This window comes from Homo sapiens, chromosome 18, assembly GCF_000001405.40.
Source record: "Homo sapiens chromosome 18, GRCh38.p14 Primary Assembly".
Classification (NCBI taxonomy): Eukaryota; Metazoa; Chordata; class Mammalia; order Primates; family Hominidae; genus Homo; species Homo sapiens.
The window spans coordinates 3,145,204-3,165,337 of NC_000018.10; the positions used below are offsets into that span (position 1 = coordinate 3,145,204).

The following is a 20,134-nucleotide window of genomic DNA, read 5'->3' on the forward strand; positions in this document are numbered from 1 at the left end:
GGGGGCTGAAGCAGGAGAATCACTTGAACCTGGGAGACGGAGGTTGCAGTGAGCCAACATTGAGCTGCTGCACTCCAGCCTGGGAAACAGAGTGAGACTCCATCTCAAAAAAAAAAAAAAATACAATGCTTTTCAAGCGCACACTAAATATTCACCAAGATAGATCTTTTTCTGGACCATAAAACAAGTTCAAGAAAATCTACAAGGATTCAAATAACACAAAATATGTTCTATTTAATTTTCATAATAGAATTAAATTAAAAACAAATAAGAGAAATATACTTGGGAAATCTGCAAATATTTAGTAACTAAATAACATACTCCAAATAATCCATGTATCAAAGAAGGTATCAAAAAATTGGAAAGTATTTTGCACAAAATAAAAATGAAAACACAACAGATCAAAATGTGTGAAATACAGCTAAAGGAGTACTTAGAAAAAAATATTTAGCACTAAATGCATGCGTTATAAAAGAATACTTCAAATTAAGGACCTCAGCTTCTACCTTAAGAAACAAGAAAAAAACCCAGCAAATTAAACTCAAATAAGCAGAAAAAAGGAAATAATAAAGATAAGAACAGAAATAAATAAAACTGGAAACAGAAGAAAAATATAGAAAATCAATGAAACCAAAAGCTGTTTCTTTGGGAACATCAATAAAGTTGATAAACTTCTAGTCAGGTCAGGACAAAGGAAGTAAAACACGAATATTAGGAATGAGAGAGGTGACACCACTACAGATTCTGCAGGTATTAAAAGGATAATAAGAAAATATGAACAACTTTATGAATGAAAAAGTTTCTTGAAAGATGAAAACTATTAAATTTTACTCAAGAAAAAGTAAATAACCTGAATAGTCCTAAATTTATTTTAAAAATTGAATTTGCAGTATAAAAGCTTCCCACAACAAAACAAAACAAACAAACCAAAAAACAAACCTCCAGGCCTAGATGGCTCTGCTGGTAAATTATACTGAATGTTTAATTAAAAAAAATAATAAAAGTTAACACAAGCTCTTTCAAAAAATTAAAATAATGGTAATACTTTCCACTCAGTACCCCAATACCAAAACCAAACCAAGACTTTACTGGGAAAAACCACAGACCAATATCTTTTATGAATATAGACACAAAAATTCCTTTAAAAATTTTTAGCAAATAAACTCCAGCAATGTATAAAAAGGATAACACAGCATAACATAGTGACATTCAACCCAGGACTGTGAGGTTTAGTTTGCGTTATTTATTTTATTTCGGTTTAATAATCTAAAATTAATCAATGTAATTCAACATGTTAATGGAAAAATAAAAATCATACGATCGTCTCAATAGATACAGGAAAAGCATTTGACAAAATCCAACACTTTTTCCTAATATAAACTCTCAGAAAACCAGGAGTAGAAGAAATTTTCCTCAACTTGATAAAGGATAGCTATACAAAACCTACACTTAATGTTAGACTTAATGGTGAAAGACTGAATGCTTTCCCCCTGACATCAGGAAAAGGCAAAGATGACCAGTCTACCACTTCTATTCAACATTGTACTAAAGGTTCTAGATGGAGCAATAAGGAAAGAAAAAGAAATAAAAGGTATCCAGATTGAAAAGGAAGAAGTTAATTTATCTTTACTTATAGATGGCATAATCCTGTAATAGAAAATCCATAATAAATTTCATAAAAAACCCTAATGTTTGTGAGAATTAATAAATTAGTTCAGCAAGGATGCAGGACACAAAATCAATATACAAAAATCAATTGTGTTTCTTTATACTAGCATAAAAACAAATTAAAATAAAAAACAATACCATTTACAGCATCATCAGAAATATTATATATAAATATTATATATTATATATAAATATATATCTTATATATAAATATTATACATTATAGATAAATATATATATTTATATATAAATATTATATATTATAGATAAATATATATATTATATAGAAATATATATATATAAAAAGTCAGATACTCTAACTTTTTGTCAGAGTTTGTGCAAAAACAGAAAGGCAGTAAAGAAGGTAACTTATTTTCAATTCAAACAAATCTTATTTTGATTGGAATTGATAAAAGAGGAGCAAACGAATGTATGAGATTATATCTATAAAAATGTGCAGGACCTGCTCACTAAAACTACTACTAAGGTGAGAGAAATGAAAACAAAGCTAAATGAATGGAGATACAGGCTATGTTCATAAATCAAAGGACTCAATGCTGTTCGGCTGAAATCCCAGCATGTTTTTTGTAGAAGTTGATAAGCTGATTTTAAAATTTTTATAGAAATGTAAAGACAGAATAGCTGAAACAACTTTGGGGGGGAAAAACCCAACACAAGATTAGAAGACTTATACTGATTTGAAGATGCTAAAATTTATATATGAAAAAATGAAGCTCAGAAAAGCTATAGTAATAAAGACAGTATGGTATTGATGGAAGGGGAAAAAAATTGACCAATAGAGATTCCAGAAATTGATCCACACATATGTAATCAATTGAATTTGACAATGGTGCCAATACAAATTCGTTGGGTAAAGAACAATCTTTTCAATAGATATTGCTGAAATAATTTAATAGCCATATGCAAGTATGAACGATAGTAATAATTGAGGCCCTTACTTCTTGTAATGTAGAAAAAATTAATTTTAAATGCATCACAGAGTGAAAAGTAAAAACTAATGCTATAACATTTCCAGGGGGAAAAAAACAGGAAAAATACCTGGATTTGACAAAGATGCCCAATGTCACAAAAACTGGCAAATAAACACATGAAAAGATGCTCGACATTATGAGTAAAATGCAAATCAAAGCCACAAAGAAATACCACTATGAACCCACTAGAATGGCTAAAATTGAAAAGACTGGCCACACTAAGTGCTAGTGACAATGCGGGAGCAAGTGGAACTCTCACGTAGGGCTGGAGGGGAAGGGAACGTGGTACAATCATTTCAGAAAACAGCTGGCAGTTCCTTTAAAAATTAAGCATACACCTACCACAGAACACATCCATTCAACTCCTAGGTATTTACACAAGACATAAATGAAAGCATATGTCCACAGAAACAGTTAAGAATGTTCATAGAAGCTTTCAACAGTGAATGGATAAATACTTTGGAACGAATTGATACACACACCAACGTAGATAAGTCTCAAAATAATTATGCTGAGTAAAGAAAAACAGACAAAAATGAACATGATTCAACTGATCTACAATTGTGGACAATGTAAACTACAGTGGCAGAAAGCAGATCAGTGATGGCTGGAGATGGGGAAACATGAAAAGGAGGAATTACGAATGGGCAGGGGAAATTTAGGGGTGACAAATACGTTCATTATTTTGAAAATGGTGATGGTGGCCGGGCGCGGTGGCTCACGTCTGTCATCCCAGCACTTTGGGAGGCCGAGACGGGCGGATCACGAGGTCAGGAGATCGAGACCATCCTGGCTAACACGGTGAAATCCCGTCTCTACTAAAAATACAAAAATTAGCCAGGCGTAGTGGCGGGCGCCTGTAGTCCCAGCTGCTCGGGAGGCTGAGGCAGGAGAATGGCGTGAACCCGGGAGGCGGAGCTTGTAGTGAGCCGAGATCGCACCATTGCACTCCACCCTGGGCGACAGAGCGAGACTCCATCCAAAAAAAAAAAAAAAAAAAAAAAAAAAAGAAAATGGTGATGGTTTCATGGGTATATACATGTGTAAAATTTATCAAATTGTACATGTTACATATTTGCAGTATACCGTATGACAATTACACCTCAAGAAAGCTTTAAAAATAAAATGGGATTCTCTGACATAAGTTATTTACAATCTCCAGATATTTTAGAATGTTCTTACCAAAACATCTTAAGCAATACACACTGCACCCTCCACAACAAAAGGCAAACTGCTTAGCAAAACATCAGCAATAGTATCTGGGGCAACCAGACTTCTTACCTGAAGGTTCCTCTTCAGTAACAATGATCTGTCCAGTCCAGGGTGCTGAGGGGCGACCTGAATAAAGACAAATATAAGAATCACAAACGTTTACAAGTGTGCAATTTATCAGCTGCACTGATGAATTGGGAAAGTGGCCAGATTAGTCACAACTGGGTTTGTTACTAATAGACTTATGTGTTTTCCCATGAATGGTATCAATCATGTAGAGGGCACTGTGGGAAGCACAGCCCCGGTCCTCAAGGGACTCATAATCTGCTGGAGCCTAGAATCTGCCTGGACTGGCTGAGTAGATGTTTCTGGAACTGTACTTGCACAAGCTAGGTAAGTAACCTGTGTTCATGTAACTGTTCAATATGAATCTCCTGGAACAGGTAGGCTTGCTCATCCCCTCTGAAGGATAGCATGCGTTTGGGAGAAACATTTCCAGAACAATTGTAAGCCCAGTAGTTATTTATTGTCATAATAAGATGAAAGAGGAGAGGGGGTGCCGATCCTGCGGTAAAGCTCAGCAAAGCAAATTTTTCCCATTATATTTTGAAAAATATTATCTCCAAAGGAAATCAGTTGAGATCCTGAGCAAGGAAAATGAATGATACGGGTACAAAGTTAAAGAGGAAATTCACTTGTATGATCCCATAAACATCAGAAAGACAGAGTAGTTCTACTCTTGCATTAACCAGGGGACTTTTTGTCAGGGTTTGTGAAAAACAGAAAGGCAGTAAAGAAGGTAACTTATTTTTAGTTCAAACAAATCTTATTTTGATTGGAATTGATAAAAGAGGAGCAAACGAAAGTATGAGATGGAATTTGCAAGTTTAGAAAGGAGGGCAGGAAGTTGGAGGGTTGGTGAAGAGTGACTGAAGAGCAATCAAGGAGCCTGATGAGACACGGTTGCCGGGGAAATGGTAACATTATTATTATTATTATTTTCAGATGGAGTCTCGCTCTGTCGCCTAGGCTGGAGTGCAGTGGCGCGATCTCAGCTCACTGCAACCTCCGCCTCCCGGGTTCAAATGATTCTCCTGCCTCAGCCTCCCGAGTAGCTGGGATTACAGGCGCCCGCCACCACGCCTGGCTAATTTTTTGTAATTTTTAGTAGAGACGGGGTTTCGCCATGTTGGCCCGGCTGGTCACGAACTCCTGACCTCAGGTGATCCACCCGCCTCGACCTCCCAGAGTGCTGGGATTACAGGTGTGAGCCACCATGCCCAGCCAGTGACATTATTTTATTTAGACTTTTACGATGCCACTACACGTACTGAAGGTAAAGAATAACATTGTGAATGTAGCACAGACCAGCAGTCCTCTACAAAGGTGGTTTTGCCCTTTAGGTGACATTTGGTAGTGTCTCCATGACACTGCTGGCATCTAGTGGGTAGAGACAAGGGATGTTGCTCAGCCTCCTGCAATGAACAGAACACCCCTAGCCACCTCCCACAACAACAAAGAATTACTGGCCTAAAGTGCCAGTAGGGCCAAGGTTGAGAAGCCTGGCATAAGCCTGAAATGTTACTATCCAACTCTTCTCATAATGTCATTTTACGTTCCCTATTGTTGGAGATGCCATATGGGTTTCCATGAAACAAATACAAGGCATGATTACAGGGCATGATTCATGTACCATGGTTTTGACATTAAGACTTGGAGACTACATATATTAAAAGATTATTATTATTGTTATTATTGAGACAGGGTCTTGCTCTGTTGCCCAGGCTAGAGTGCAATGGTGTAATCACAGCTCACTGCAGCCTTGACCTCCTGGGCTCTAGCGATCCTCCCACCTCAGCCTCCTGAGTAGCTGGGACTTACAGCTGTGTGCTACCATGCCTGGCTTTTTTTTTTTTTTTTTTTTTCATTTTTTTCATTTTTTTTTTTTAAAAGATGGGGTCTCTCTATGTTGCCCAGGTTGGTCTCAGAACTCCTAGGCTCAAGCCATCCTCCCACCTTAGCCTCTCCAAGTGCTGGGATTACAGGTGTGAGCCACCACGCCAGGCCTGAAAAAATGATTTTTGACAGTCTAATATGAGAACTCAGACATAGATTAGATATAACGTTGTCTATCTGTTTTTCCTTTGATATAGAGAGACGCACTGTGCTGAGATATTAATGCTCTAAGGGTGGACTCCAAGGTAAAGAAATAGACCTTGAGCCAGAAAGAAAATTATTTTTATTATTTTTGGAATGTATAATAACAGGAATAAAAATGCTCTCCAGCCTCTTTGCTTTTATACTTCATTCCACACACAATGCCTGGAACTCAGTTTAACAACATAAATGTTTCTGAATAAAATAAAATAAAATATAAAATAATAAAATAAAATAAAATAAATAAAATAAAATAAAATAAAATAAAATAAAACCCTTAAGAGAATGGCTAAGGCAATGTTTGCGAAGGATTCTCCCCCTCGGATTTTCTGATGAAAAAAGGATTTCTTGTTCTTGTCTCCCTCTAGTGGAAGGGAGAGAAACAACCTTGCAATGAAGCTGATTCTTGCAGTCATTTTAAAAAGGTTTAGGGAAGGTCCTGAAAAATGAAAAGTGCTTACTTTTAAGTCTAGCTTTCTCAGCCGGATCCAGAGCAGCCACGGGCTCGGAAACTCGAGATGGGAAACCTATTCCCATTTTATTCACAGCTCGAACTCGGAAGATATAGGAACGACCTTCGATCAATCCAGTGACAGGAAAACGAGCAAACTTCACAGGTGTGTCATTGCACTGCGACCAGCTATCTGTGCCCACCTCACACCTAAAGGAATGAGCGTGATTGACAAAAATATTAAAAGAAGTATGGCTTAATGAATATCTCCAGAGCTGCAGAATCACCCAGTTGTTTCAGATCTTCTCCCTATAAAATATCCAAGTCAGGCGTGGCTCGCTACCTGGTGAACTGCATGCAGGCACTCCGTTTCACTCAAATGCACTGTGTCTTCTTTACCAAGAGGAAAGAAGCCTCAGGTCCTTCCTGAACTCGTAAAAAGCAGGCATCTGAGGGGCCTTGTGTAGAAAGCAGAGGGGTTTGGGGGTTGCTGGGATAAGCAGATAAATATCTCCAATCTTAGCATTGGAGAAGATCCCCAAACATCTCCCCGGCTGATGCCTTCAATTCTACCATTAGTGACTTCTTTGTCTTCTTTAGGTATTTTCTTTGAAAAACAGAGGTATTATTGAGAAAATTGGCGTCTTAAAACCTAACTATTTGCACTGTAGTTTGGAAAAGAGTTCACCATATTTCCTCACTTCATGGTCATTCCATCCTGTGTAGAGGGTAAGAAGGTTATTGTGAAGATGTTTGTTTCTTTAACAGAAGAGACTGATGACAGGTGGGGAGATGCCCAGTCCTGGCAGGGGCAGATTGAGTGGGTACTTGGAAACACTGATTTCTAATTGAGTGCTTTTACAGCAGTTGGTACCTGGGGATGGAGTGGGTCATTCCCAGCAGACAAATATGACAGCTCATATCATGCTGTTGGCCTGATCAACAAAGCTTTAGGGGTTCAACATGTGATTAAATTTTACAGATTAGGATTAAGCAGCTCTTACTTTTTTTATGAGCAGAGTGCTGTACTTTTAGCTCATATCATTTCCCCAACATGGGCTCTATGTCCAAAATGTGTAATTCCCAAATGATTCTCAGGGGCGTGGGGGTTGCCAGTGGCAGGACAGAGGTGGCTGGTGTGGGGGGTGTATCTCCCCTCCTCACAATCACCTTCCTCTCTTTGATATGGACAATAGACAATTTCCTTATGTAAAGTGGAATAGACAACTTCCTCACTTTCCTTATGTAAAGTGCTGTCAAATGTGGCTTCAATCCCTGCCTTCCATCATTTCCCCTAATCCTCCTTGGTAGAAATTCTGGAGCTGCTAGGGGTTTGGGGAGGTGGGGCTGTGGCAGAAGCTGATAGGGCCAGGACAATTCTTCAATCTACACCTGTCTCCAGAGATTCTGCCAGGACTCAGCCTCTTCTCTGTGCAGATACTGCTATGGTGACCCAGTGACACTAGAGCATCCTTCCTAACCTCATGTGGGCAGAAAGAAAGGTGGAACTCACTGCTCCTGACACTTTCCGCAGCACGTTGGAGCAGAAAGAACACAAACCTACAGCCAGGCTCACATCTGAATTCTAGTTCTGCTACTTATTACCCGCGTGATCTTAGGTGAGTTAGTGCTTCCTCACTGATATGTGGTCTCGGGCCTCATTTCCTACTTGAAATAATAGCAACGACCTTAAAGGGCGGTTATGGGTTAGTGGTTAATATATGCGAAGTGTTTAGAACAGTGCCATGCACACAGTAAATGCTTAATAAATAATAGCCACAAGGTGGGTATTTTCACTATGACTAAGGCCAGAGGAGAACAAAATGTACTTATTGTCCCTGGCCTTTCACTGGTCAAAGTTTAAAAATCCCCTGGAAATGTGCCAAAGACAATAAAGCACAAAAAAGAATATATCTAAACCTTCACAATTCATCACTACTAAATGATGAAATGTTGTGGAAGCATTAGTTCACATGGATGGTTAAATAGTATATAATTTATTAGAAATATTTCTTACAAATAGTTCTGAGCACAATTGCATGTATTTATGTACTGCGAAGTTCAACACACCCTTGGTGCAAACCCATTGTGCTAATATGACACAGATTATCCATCTCTAGTGATTTCTACAATGAGATTTCATTACTCAAAAATGAAAAGAGAATTGGAACAACGATCTGAATAGAAACCAAGTCAGAGAACAATGTTATTTAGGCCAAATCTAAATTTGCTGTCTGTATCGTCCAAACTCATGTCATAATTAATGTGTAAAGCCCAGTTACTATAAATATCAGAGCCTCTAAGTTTTGGAGAATATAGACAAGAACTTATAGATAGTGAATAATTTGCTTCTATTGATTTTTTGTTGTTACTTCTTTGTATAACTTGAAAACACATCCTGAGGTAGAAATAAGACTTTGGTAGTATTACCAAAGTAAATATTCTTAAATTATTGACATATTAGGAATATGGACATTATGCTGAATTCCAATGATTTCATTTCCAAGGTGGCCTCTATGAGGTCTACAAATTCATAGCATTCTTGCCAAATTAGTGACATAAGCTGGTAGCCAAATTTAAAAAAATTCATCTTTGGAATTTAGGTAAATATTTAATTCATTTTTGGAACTTTTACCTAAATTCCAAAAAAGAATTTTTTGAATTTGACTACCAGCTCATGTTACTAATTTGGCAAGAATGCTATGAATTCGTAGACCTAATAGAGACCTAACAGAGGCCATCTTGGAAATGAAATATATATATATGTATATATATCTACCTACCTATTTACCTAAGTTCCAAAGATGAATTTTGTGACACTATGATATGAGCTGTCACATTTGTCTGCTGGGGAGTGACCCACTCCATCTGCAGGTACTAACTGCTGTAAAAGCACTCAATTAGAAATCAGCGTTTCTAAGTACCTACTCAATACACACACACACACACACACACACACACACACACATTTATAATGGGTATATATACCCATTTTATATATATATGTAGGTACCATTATATGTATGTGTATATATGTATGTATGTATATGTTTGTGTAGATATATACATACAGAGAGAAAGAGAGAGCGAGAGACTGAGACAGAGACAAATAGAGAAAAAGAAAGATGAAGAGAGATACAGAAATAGAAAGAGGAGGAGAGGAAAGCCAGAAAAGAAAATATTTCCACTAGAAATGATGGGAGAAATCAAGCACGCATCTCTATGACCAAATAACTGTAATTGATGTTAGCCTAAGCACTAACTTATCAATAAAATATCCGAGAATAGGACTCCCTCCATCGACAGCTGGCTGTTTCCAGGAGATGATGATATAATCTTTGTTGGCCTCCAAGCACTTCACATCCAAGGGAGCAGCTGGGGCTCCTTCAATCTCTGCATCAGCATCTGTGGAGACAGAGAAGGATCCCATTAACCCTCTCAGACATGCTGTCAGTCGGCAGGCAGGTCTCAGCGCACACGCTTCTTACCACATCATCACAGTGGCTCAATCTTTGGCCCCAACGCAGCAAGCATCAAATCTTGCTATTTTTTTTTTGAGACGGAGTCTCGCTCTGTCACCCAGGCTGGAGGGCAGAGGTGGGATCTCAGCTCACTGCAAGCTCCACCTCCCGGGTTCACGCCATTCTCCTGCCTCAGCCTCCTGAGTAGCTGGGACTACAGGCACCCGCCACCACGCCCAGCTAATTTCTTTTTGTATTTTTGGTAGAGATGGGGTTTCACCGTGTTAGCCAGGATGGTCTTGATCTCCTGACCTTGTGATCCGCCCGCCTCGGCCTCCCAAAGTGCTGGGATTACAGGCGTGAGCCATCACACCCGGCCAAATCTTGCTATTTGTTGACCAACATAACAATGTGTGTTTTTCACCTTCAGCAGGAAGAACATTGTGTCAGAAAATAGAAAGTGCTCTGAAAAGAACCCATGACCTTTGCCTCATGGTCCCTGTGGCCCAAAATGTTCCAAAAGAAAATTAATATAGAGATGCTGAAGATTGCATTCAGACAAGTCAGTTGTGCCAGAAAGTCTGTTCTCATGACATTGATTGTGCAACGTTGCTAAGAAAAACTAAGAAAGGCTCCCAAGGGAGACAAATACCCCTTCTGGAGGCATCCACAAGAAAATACGAGTCATAGAGCTTTGCCAGTCCCTAGGCAAGACACTACCATTTTGAAAGAGAAAACATTCGTTTTAATCAAATGATTGTTACCAAACTGAACACTTAGGAAAAGAACTCCAATGCAATACTCACATCTGAGCTCAGTTTATCTGAGTTTAGTAAAAGTCCGGGATAATACAGGAAACACTACAATCCCTTTTTATGAAATGGGATCCCCTGACCACACGGCCCCTCAGGCACAGCTGAATTAGTGAATCAGGGCTGTTTATAGGAGGGAGAGAAGGGGGAATGAAAATATTCAGTTAGTAACCTTTTAAGTGAGAATAATTAAGACAAGAGGCAGGGTCCCTGGGGGTGGAGGCCCACATTTGCCAATTCCTCCTGGCATTTGACCAACGCTTTCATAAACGGAGTTAGTAGAAGAGGCTGAGACATGCAGGAGCCACTCACTCAAGGGAAAGCACCCATGTCGACCAAACAAACACTTTCTTTCCCTATGATCTACATTCTGTAACTCTTATGAGTTACAAGGACATTTGATAACATAGCAGAAATATCTGTCTACTTCTGCATTTAATAGATTTGCATTATCTGTGAAGAGCTCAAGCCACTTGGGTTTTGAACATTCTGTTTCTTGTTCTGTGAACCAGCAGGAAAGCATCTAGGCAAATATCTCCTGCAGAAGTGCTATAGGAGAATGTAACTAACTCATTGTGCCTAAAACTTAATGCAGAATCTCTGCGTGCCACTCAGTGGGAAATGAGCATTTTGATGAGGAGACACTTCTTTCTTTTTTTTTTTTTTTGAGACAGAGTCTTGCTCTGTCACCCAGGCTGGAGGGCAGAGGTGGGATCTCAGCTCACTGCAAGCTCCACCTCCCGGGTTCACGCCATTCTCCTGCCTCAAGCCTCCTGAGTAGCTGGGACTACAGGCGTGCACCACCTATGCCCGGCTAATTTTTTTTGTATTTTTAGTAGAGATGGGGATTCACCGTATTAGCCAGGATGGTCTCGAACTCCTGACCTTGTGATCCGCCCGCCTCGGCCTCCCAAAGTGCTGGGATTACAGGCGTGAGCCACCGCGCCCGGCGAGACACTTCTTTCCTTCCAGGCTTTCAGAGCACTGGATGGCGGAGAGTGGGGCTGCTGATGGCAAAGGCAGAGCAGAGCTGCAGAGGAGGTGGGGATGCTGAGGCTGACATGCTTGGGCTGCAAAAGAGGCACTGCTAGAAAGCCATCAGCTACAAGAGGGACAGCTGGCAACCTCTAGCCATGTCCTTTTGCTAACGGCCTATACCACAACAACCAGGAGCCCCTGCATTGATAGAGCAGAGCTCAGTGAGCTGGGCATCCATGGCATAGATGCACGATGGCAGGAATACGCTGTAATGGAGCCTGGCAGACAGCGGGCATTCAGGGAGCCATTGTTCAACATTTGTATAGCATTGCTTGGAACTGAGGTGGGCTTGACAATCTTCCAAGTTACTCAGGCATTCATTCTCTCATTCATTCTCTCATTCATTCATTCTCTCATTCATTCATTCAGTACTCTTCTAGGTGTTAACTGCAAAAGTTAAAAAATAAGGATCCTAGCTGGGTGCAGTGGGTCACGCCTGTAATCCTAGCACTTTGGGTAGATCACTTGAGCCTAGGAATTCAAGAGCAGCCTGGGCAACATGGTGAGACTCTGTCTCTATGCATTTTAAAAAAATAGCCAGGTGTGGTAGTGCGGGCCTATGTTTCCAGTAACTTGAGAGGCTGAGGGAAGAGGATTGCTTGAGCCTGGGAGGTAGAGGCTGCAGTAAGCTATGATTGCACCACTACACTCCAGCCTGGGTGACAGAGCAAGACCTTGTCTCCAAAAATAATAATAATAATAATAATAATAATAATAATAATAATAATAATCCTTCTTTTTCTCAAGAAGCTACGATATAGTGTGAGAAACAAAACATACTTGGGATGACAAGAGGCAGCTGTGAAGCAAGGAAACACAGTATTTGGCTTCTAGCAGCTGCTACACAGTGTGGGGCCCACAGCACCCTTCAGACAACATTAATCCTCTTCTACGCCTCTGCCCTTCCCTCTCCCAGCCCTCCAAATAGCCAAACTTTTTATAAGTTTGATTATTAGATCAAAGATTAGCCTACTACTCTTTATATTTTGACCTCTGACACAGACTATTAATAACTTTTTGCAAAATGTAAGTAATTCTATTGTCTTTATTGTAAAAGTGTTACATATATTTTATATGAACTATATGATAATCAAAAAATATGTTAAAATCCCTTTTTTACAACCCAGAGATAACTACTATTACCATATTGGCCTAAATCTTTCTAGACTTTTATTCTATATTTATAAACTCAGAAATGATTATTTTTGAAACAAAGTGATTGTACTATATAGTTTCATGTAAGCTGTTTTTTCTTGATATATTTCCATATCAATACATGTGGGTAGACATTGGTTTTCATTGCTGTGTGGTATGTCATCGTTTCATGGAGCATCTATTATACTTTACTCTACAACTTGCATATTGGTGAATATCTATATTTCTTCCAATTTTCCCCCAAACATTTTTTTCACCTCTGTCCCCTCAGTTCTTAGAACTAGAATTGTTGGAAATGTGTGTTTTTGATATTTAGTGGCAAAGAGCCTGAGAAAAGTTGAACAAATTTATACTCACCAGCCACTGCAGCAGTGCCTGTTCCTCCATTCCTTTACCCCAGTGGATTTCAAAAAACTTTACATCTTTTCAATATGATAGGAAAAACAATCTCATTTCAATTTTCTTTTTTTCTTTCTTTTTTTGAGATAGGGTCTCACTCTGTGGCCCAGGCTGGAGTGCAGTGAGGCAATCATAGTTCCCGGTGGCTTTGACCTCCCAGGCTCAAGCTCTCCTCCCTCTTCAGCCTCCCAAGTAGCTAGGATTATAGGTATACTCCACTATGCCCAGCTAATTTTTTTATTTTTTGTAGAGACAGGGTCTCACTGTGTTGCCCAGGCTGGTCTTGAACTCCTGGGCTCAAGTGATCCTCCCACCTGGGCCTCCCAAAGTGCTGGGATTACCGGCATGAGCCACTGTGCCCAGCCTCATTTCAATTTTCATTGTTTTGATTGCTAATGAAAATTTTTTCATACACTTATTTGCCATTTTCAATTCTTCTTTCATGACATTTTAATGACATCCTTTATCACTTTATTATTTCTCTGTCTCCTCTCTGCATGAGAGAGAGCAAGAGAAACAGAGTGTGAAAAAAAAAGAAAAGAGAAAGAGAAGGAAAGAATACATCAAAGCCTCAAGGAATATGTAATAAAATGATAACACTGGATACCTGTGGGTGGCAGACTTACGGATGGCTTTACTTTTTATTTGTTAAATTTATATTATCTATTTTTTTCACAATGAACACATATTATCTATGTAATAAAATCTTGGCCAAATGTGTACAGCTCTTTACAATGTGTTTCTGCAGACATATGGTGCTTTATACACTGATCGTTCTGGTGTGGAAGCTGTTTTCTAAGCTGTAAGAATATCAGAGCTCCAAAACAATGCCCTGAAGTGACCTCGTGCAGCTCAATGAATACAAAGTTTTTTTAAAAATAAAATATTATTTAAGCAATGGCAGTTTCTTACAAAGTTAAACACAAATTTACCATATGACCTAGCAATTCCACTTGTAGGTAGATACCCAAGAGAAATGAAGATATAGGCCTATAAATATGAACACACATGTTTATAATAACCAAAGAGTGAAAACAATCGCACTGTCCATCAGCGGGTGAACGTATAGGCAAAAGGATGCATATCCATGTATTGGAATGCAATTTAATAAGAAAAAGGAACAATATGTCTTACAACATGAATGAACCTCAAAACATGTAAAGCCAAAGAAGGCCGACATAAAAAACCATAGAGATCCAGAAATGTCCAGAAAGACAAATCTACAGAGATAGAAAGTGAATTAGTAGTTGCGGGAGACTAGACTGGTTATGGGAGAGGGAAATAGGGAGGAGAAATCTTTTTGGGGTGATGTAAATTTTCTTTCTTTTCCTTCCTTCCTTCCTTCCTTCCTTCCTTCCTTCCTTCCTTCCTTCCTTCCTTCCTTCCTTCTCTCCTTCCCTCCTTCCTTCCCTGCCTGCCTTCCTTCTCTCTCTCCCTCTCTTATTCTCTTTTCTTCTTCTCCTACTTCTTCTTCTCCTTCTCCTCTTCCTCCTCCTTCTCCTCCTCCTCCTCCTTCTTCTTCTTCTCTTCCTCCTCCTCCTTCTTCTCCTCCTCCTTCTTCTTCTTCTCTTCCTCCTCCTCCTCCTCCTTCCTTTCCCTTCCCTTCCCTTCCTTTCCTTTTCTTCTTCTCTCTCTCTTTTTTTTCTTTCTTTTTTTTGAGACAGGGTCTCGTTCTGTCACCCAAGCTGGAGTGCAGTGTTGCAATCACCAGTCATTGCAGCCTCGACCTCTTGGGCTCAAGCAATCCTCCCATCTCAGCCTCCTGAGTAGCTGGGACTACAGGCATGCATCACACCCAGCTAATTGTTTTCAGTTTTTGTAGAGATGGGGTCTTGCTATGTGGCCCAGGCTGGTCTCACACTCCTGGGCTCAAGAGATCCTCCTATCTTGGCCTCCCAAAGTGCTGGGATTACAGGCGTGAGCCATTGTACCTGGTCAACATTTTCTAAAAGTGGAGTGTGGGTAATGGTTGCCCAACTCTGTAAATATACTAAAAAGCACCAAATTGTATACTTAACATGAGTGAACTTTATGGTATACAAATTATATCTCAAAAATATGCTTTAAAAAACCTAATATATATCATTTAAAATACATTTATAAGTGAAATCTTTTTCTAAAGATTGTAAAATTCACAATGCAATTGCTGAAATTTACCTTTCCAATTTTGCCTTTTCTATTTATCTTTTCAATGCTCTCACATCAACCTCTGATAAACTGAGAATCTTTCCATTTCCTTAATTTGTGGATTTGAAAGCTGGCTTAAGTATAAATTTTAAATTGGAACACCTTCGCCCCATCCATAGTTAGTAACGTGGAGTCTGGCCTAAACCTGGCAAAGAGGCACCATTCTGGGTGTGGGCGCTGAGAAATGTTGAGGAACCCTAGACTGGGTCAGGGTTCCTAGAAAAAGTTCATGAAGGAAGGACCATAGCATGACAAAGGTTTTTGGAATAGCCAGCGATGTTCTCTGGCTCTAGTAAAACAGTGGAAAGTGGAAGCAAAGACTTAGCTTAGTTCATCCTCATCTAGCCAGGTTGATCCTGGTGATTTGGCTAAATGAACGCACTTGCTAATTGCAGTGTGTTGGTTCTCACTGCAATTTTCCCAGAAGGCCAGCTCCTGTCTTCCCTGATGATATAGACTTTTTCATGATGCCTTTGTGGTGGAGAAAGCCTTATATGCTTTTCAGATGTTTAGATATTCAGGTATCTATACCAGTTGCCGGTCTGGGACAGAATTCAGTGGTCATTTTTACTGTTCAATGCCGATGTGGTGTGGCCTGCTAACTGTCCCCAGCAATCATTCTTCCTGCTTCCTTTTAGTACTAGGACCCCTGAGCGTTAGCAGGAAACATGGCTGGCTAACAAGAGACAGTACCTGCTAGCTCCCCTCACTGTGAAGTGTCTGCATGTGCTAAGTGTGCACTAAGCAGAAGTGATGAGGGCACTAAGCAGAAGTGATGAGGGCAATTCGGCCTCTGCCCCTCCACTCCCTTTCTTTCTCCTCCCCATAGGCTGGGATGAGAACCTGGGACAGTACCCCAGGGCACAGTGCAATAACAACATAGAGGGGACCTAGGAAGAGGCATCTGGATCATACCCAACTTTCACATACAGGAGAGAAACAAATCTTTTGTTATTTCATTTCAGCAGCTTAGTCTAGATCCTAATTAAAATCCTGGGTTAGCCACTGGAAGACCTATAAGCTAGTTCCACTTCTGCTTCTAATTAACTGAAGTTTTTGGTAAATTACCGTACTTTTTTGAACCTCAGTTTCTGCATCATAAAATTAAGGGGTTGTACTAGGATGAGAATTCTAACATTTTTTGAGCCATCGACCCCTTTGACAAGCCGGTAAAGCCTAGAGGTCCTTCTGAGAGTAATGCATTTACACACATAAAATAAAACTCATGTGATTACCAGAAAACCTAAATATATTGAAATACAGTTCTAATCATAGACCTTTTGGAAGTCTGTGGATCCCAGTTGAGTACTCAAAATGTTTATGAGTTTATGACTCTATTTAGTGTAAGAGAGATAAAAATGAGCTAGTCTACCTGCATTGTTTATATTTTAAATTTTCTCTATATTATGATGCTTTAACATCTTAGACACCATTCTGGCTAAGGAGGGCCTGCCTTCCTGAGGCGAGCCAATTCTTAGGGCCCAGAGGGGAGCATGACTGATATGCAAACTAGCCACTTCAGCCACACCTCCTTTATCTGGCCTGTAGAACCCAGGAAACAATATGGTTCTGCCTTAATCATCCCCGGGGCCAGATACCAGGCAAGTAGGGACCACACCTGTAACTTACAGCCTACTGAAATTATTTGAACTAGCCAATCCTAACTTGTTTACTTGCCCTGCTTTCCCTACCCAAGGAAACTCCAATAAAGGGCTTGGTCTAGGCACTCCTTTGCTCCTCCTGCCCCTTCTGACTCATGACTGACACTGGCACTTTCCCACGTGTCCCAGCTGTTCCTGTTCTAGGACCTGTGAGTATTATAAACATTGTTTTCTTGTGCCTCTACTAGATCTCTTCTTATGACTGCACCTGACTAATCATGCCATAAAAAAACACAGAACACTACCCTGGTAGCCTAAAAGTGCTAATGGTCTTCCCAAGTGCTAGGATCCCGTGGAGGAATAATATTCCACATGTGCATATCCAATCCATTTAAGACACCACTGAAAAGGCCGGGCGTGGGCTCACGCCTGTAATCCCAGCACTTTGGGAGACCGAGACCGGTGGATCACGAGGTCAGGAGATCGAGACCATCCTGGCTAACACGGTGAAACCCCATCTCTACTAAAAATACAAAAAAATTAGCCGGGCATGGTGGTGGGCGCCTGTAGTCCCAGCTACTCGGGAGGCTGACGCAAGAGAATGGTGTGAACCCAGGAGGCGGAGCTTGCAGTGAGCCGAGATCAAGCCACTGCACTGCACTCCAGCCTGGGTGACTGAGACTCCCACTCAAAAAAACAAAAAAAAACAAAAAACCACACACCACTGAAAAAAAGAAAGACTCCTAAAGTCAACAATTTTGGTTTGTCTCAAGAATTAAGCTGAAACCCCTTGCTTCCTAGTTCATCAAAACAGAGGCTATAAAGTTCAGTTATGGGCCAAGGGACCTGAAATGAAATAATAAATTTACTCTCTGAAATACACATTAAAGACTTACACCCAAAATAACAGATCCCTCTTTTGCAGCAGCTTCCTTAAACTGAGATGGCTGGTATCATTAGGATTTAGCATCTCCACCGGAACAGTCATAGGGAACTGTACTAGCAGCTCCCTGAAGACGAAGAAAGTCCTGATATTAATGATGGAAACATGGTCTGGAAAATGGTGACTTTTGAGTTGGTGCCCTCAGGGCTCACCTTTTACACTAGGTCTACTTTTTTTTTTGTTTTTCTTTTGAGACAGGGTCTCACTCTGTCACCCAGGCTGGAGTGCAGTGGCATAATCTCAGCCAACTTGAACTTCTGCCTGCCAGGCCCAAGCCATCCTCCCACTCCAGCCTCCCAAGTAGCTGAGACTACAAGCGCGCACCACCATGCCCGGCTAATTTTTTGTATTTTTTGTAGAGATGAGATTTTACCATGTTGCCCAGGCTGGTCTTGAACTCCTGAGCTCAAGTGATCCACACATCTCAGCTTCCTAAAGTGCTGGGATTACAGGCATGAGCCACCGGGCCTAGGTCTATTTTATTGGAAACGAACATATTCTTATTCAATGTAATCTGCAAGAATTTCCTTTTTCTTTTCTTTCTTTTTTTTTTGGTTTTGTTTTGTTTTGTTTCATTTTGTTTTGTTTTTTGAGACGGGGTCTTGTTCTATCACCCAGGCTGGAGTGCAGTGGTGCAATCACAGCTCACTGCAGCCTTGACTTCTCGGGCTTGAGTGATCCTCCCTCTTCAGCCTCCCAAGTAGCTGGGACCACAGGTGCATGCCGCCATGCCCAGCTAATCAAAAAAATTTTTTTTTGTAGAAATGGGTTCTTGCCTATGTTACTGGGCTGGTCTTGAATCCCTGGGTTCAAGAGATCCTCCCACCTTGGCCTCCCAAAGTGCTGGGATTACAGGCGTGAGACATTGCACCCTGCCAGAATTTTGAAATGACTCTTCCATCATTATGAAACATGTTTGAACTGTTTTGTAATCAAAAACTGCTTTGGCTTCAGTGTACTAAATATTGTTAGGTGTTTTGTTTTTTGCTAGGACTTACCTCGAACAAAGACATAAGCACTATATTGTTCATAATATTCTCCCATCCGTACACGGATTGTATAGAGGCCTTCATCTTCTTTGTTGAGATGGGAAAATGTCAGCGTTGCCCGCTCTCCACTCCAAAGTGTTTGCACCCATTTTGATGGAGAAAGAGGTACTCCTAGAAATATTTTAAAAGTAAGCAAATTAACTTATTTTTGTTTTATAACTTCCTTCTTGTCTCCCCTCCATTCCTCTCCTTAGCCTTTTCTATAATGAAAGTAATTTAACTACTAGAGGAAGTCTCTAGGACTTTGAGCCATCCTGATATGTTTACATTGGTAAAAATACTGGACCAAAAGTAAGGGGATAAGGGGCAGACACATAATCCGCAGGGGCCTCGTGTAAAATTACATTACAAGGCCCCTTGTTCAAAAAGCAGAGAAAAAGTGCAATTAAAGGTGCTAAAATATGTCTTCTTCCTTTAAAAATATTTTATTACTTATAGTAATGTAATAGGGGTAATACAAGTTGCAAAAAATCGTATTTTGGTGCCATAATTGTATATGCAATCAATAATAATACGTTACTAGTAGGAGACCTTGATTGATAATAAGATATTGCTGTCTGCTTTTCTGCAAATTCATTTATTAGTCATCAAAATTTATACTTTTAGCAACTTCATTTTAAATCAATATAATCAAAAGCAACATCAGTAACTATTTATAAATGCAAGCTCATGAATTAATTCCCATAATTTTTTTAGAAGGACCTTTCTGCTGATGTAACTGTTACTGGAGCTGTTAAAAAAGTTATATAGGCTATGACAACATTGGGTTAACTTTCTGAGAAACTATTTCAAAATATAAATTTTAGCAATCTAGAACTGATGACTCCAGATTCTAGAACCTAGAATAAAGGGACAATCTAGAATCTAGAATAAAGGGACAATTATTCTAAAAAGATTTAACTCTTCATACAAATCAGTTTCATGTAAATCTCTATTTAATTTTAAGTGTGAATTTATACAGTTTCATTTTAATGCTTTGTCCAATATGGCTTTAACCTGTGGAGGTGAC

At 39.8% G+C, this 20,134-nt stretch overlaps 1 protein-coding gene across 7 annotated transcripts in view, besides 1 other annotated feature; it reads right to left on the reverse strand.

Annotated features, from left to right (window-relative positions):
- MYOM1 (myomesin 1) overlaps positions 1-20,134 on the reverse strand; it is a 180,570-nt gene that overhangs the window by 78,397 nt on the left and 82,039 nt on the right. For all 7 annotated transcript variants that reach the window (XR_935071.3, XM_047437910.1, XM_047437911.1 and 4 more), the window contains 4 exons: positions 19,075-19,236; positions 9,744-9,885; positions 6,491-6,690; positions 3,942-3,998 (listed from right to left, as the gene is read on the reverse strand). Coding sequence is in view for 6 of the 7 variants with exons in the window: in XM_047437910.1 (XP_047293866.1) it covers positions 3,942-3,998; positions 6,491-6,690; positions 9,744-9,885; positions 19,075-19,236 (561 nt within the window). In the remaining variant the exon portion in view is untranslated. The remainder of the gene's footprint in view (positions 1-3,941; positions 3,999-6,490; positions 6,691-9,743; positions 9,886-19,074; positions 19,237-20,134) is intronic.
- Positions 7,941-8,030: an enhancer, noted in NCBI's record as "active region_13037". NCBI's record gives its function as "activates an Ori minimal core promoter by ATAC-STARR-seq in GM12878 lymphoblastoid cells {active_cell/tissue: GM12878}" and the evidence as "EXISTENCE:reporter gene assay evidence [ECO:0000049][PMID:35858748]".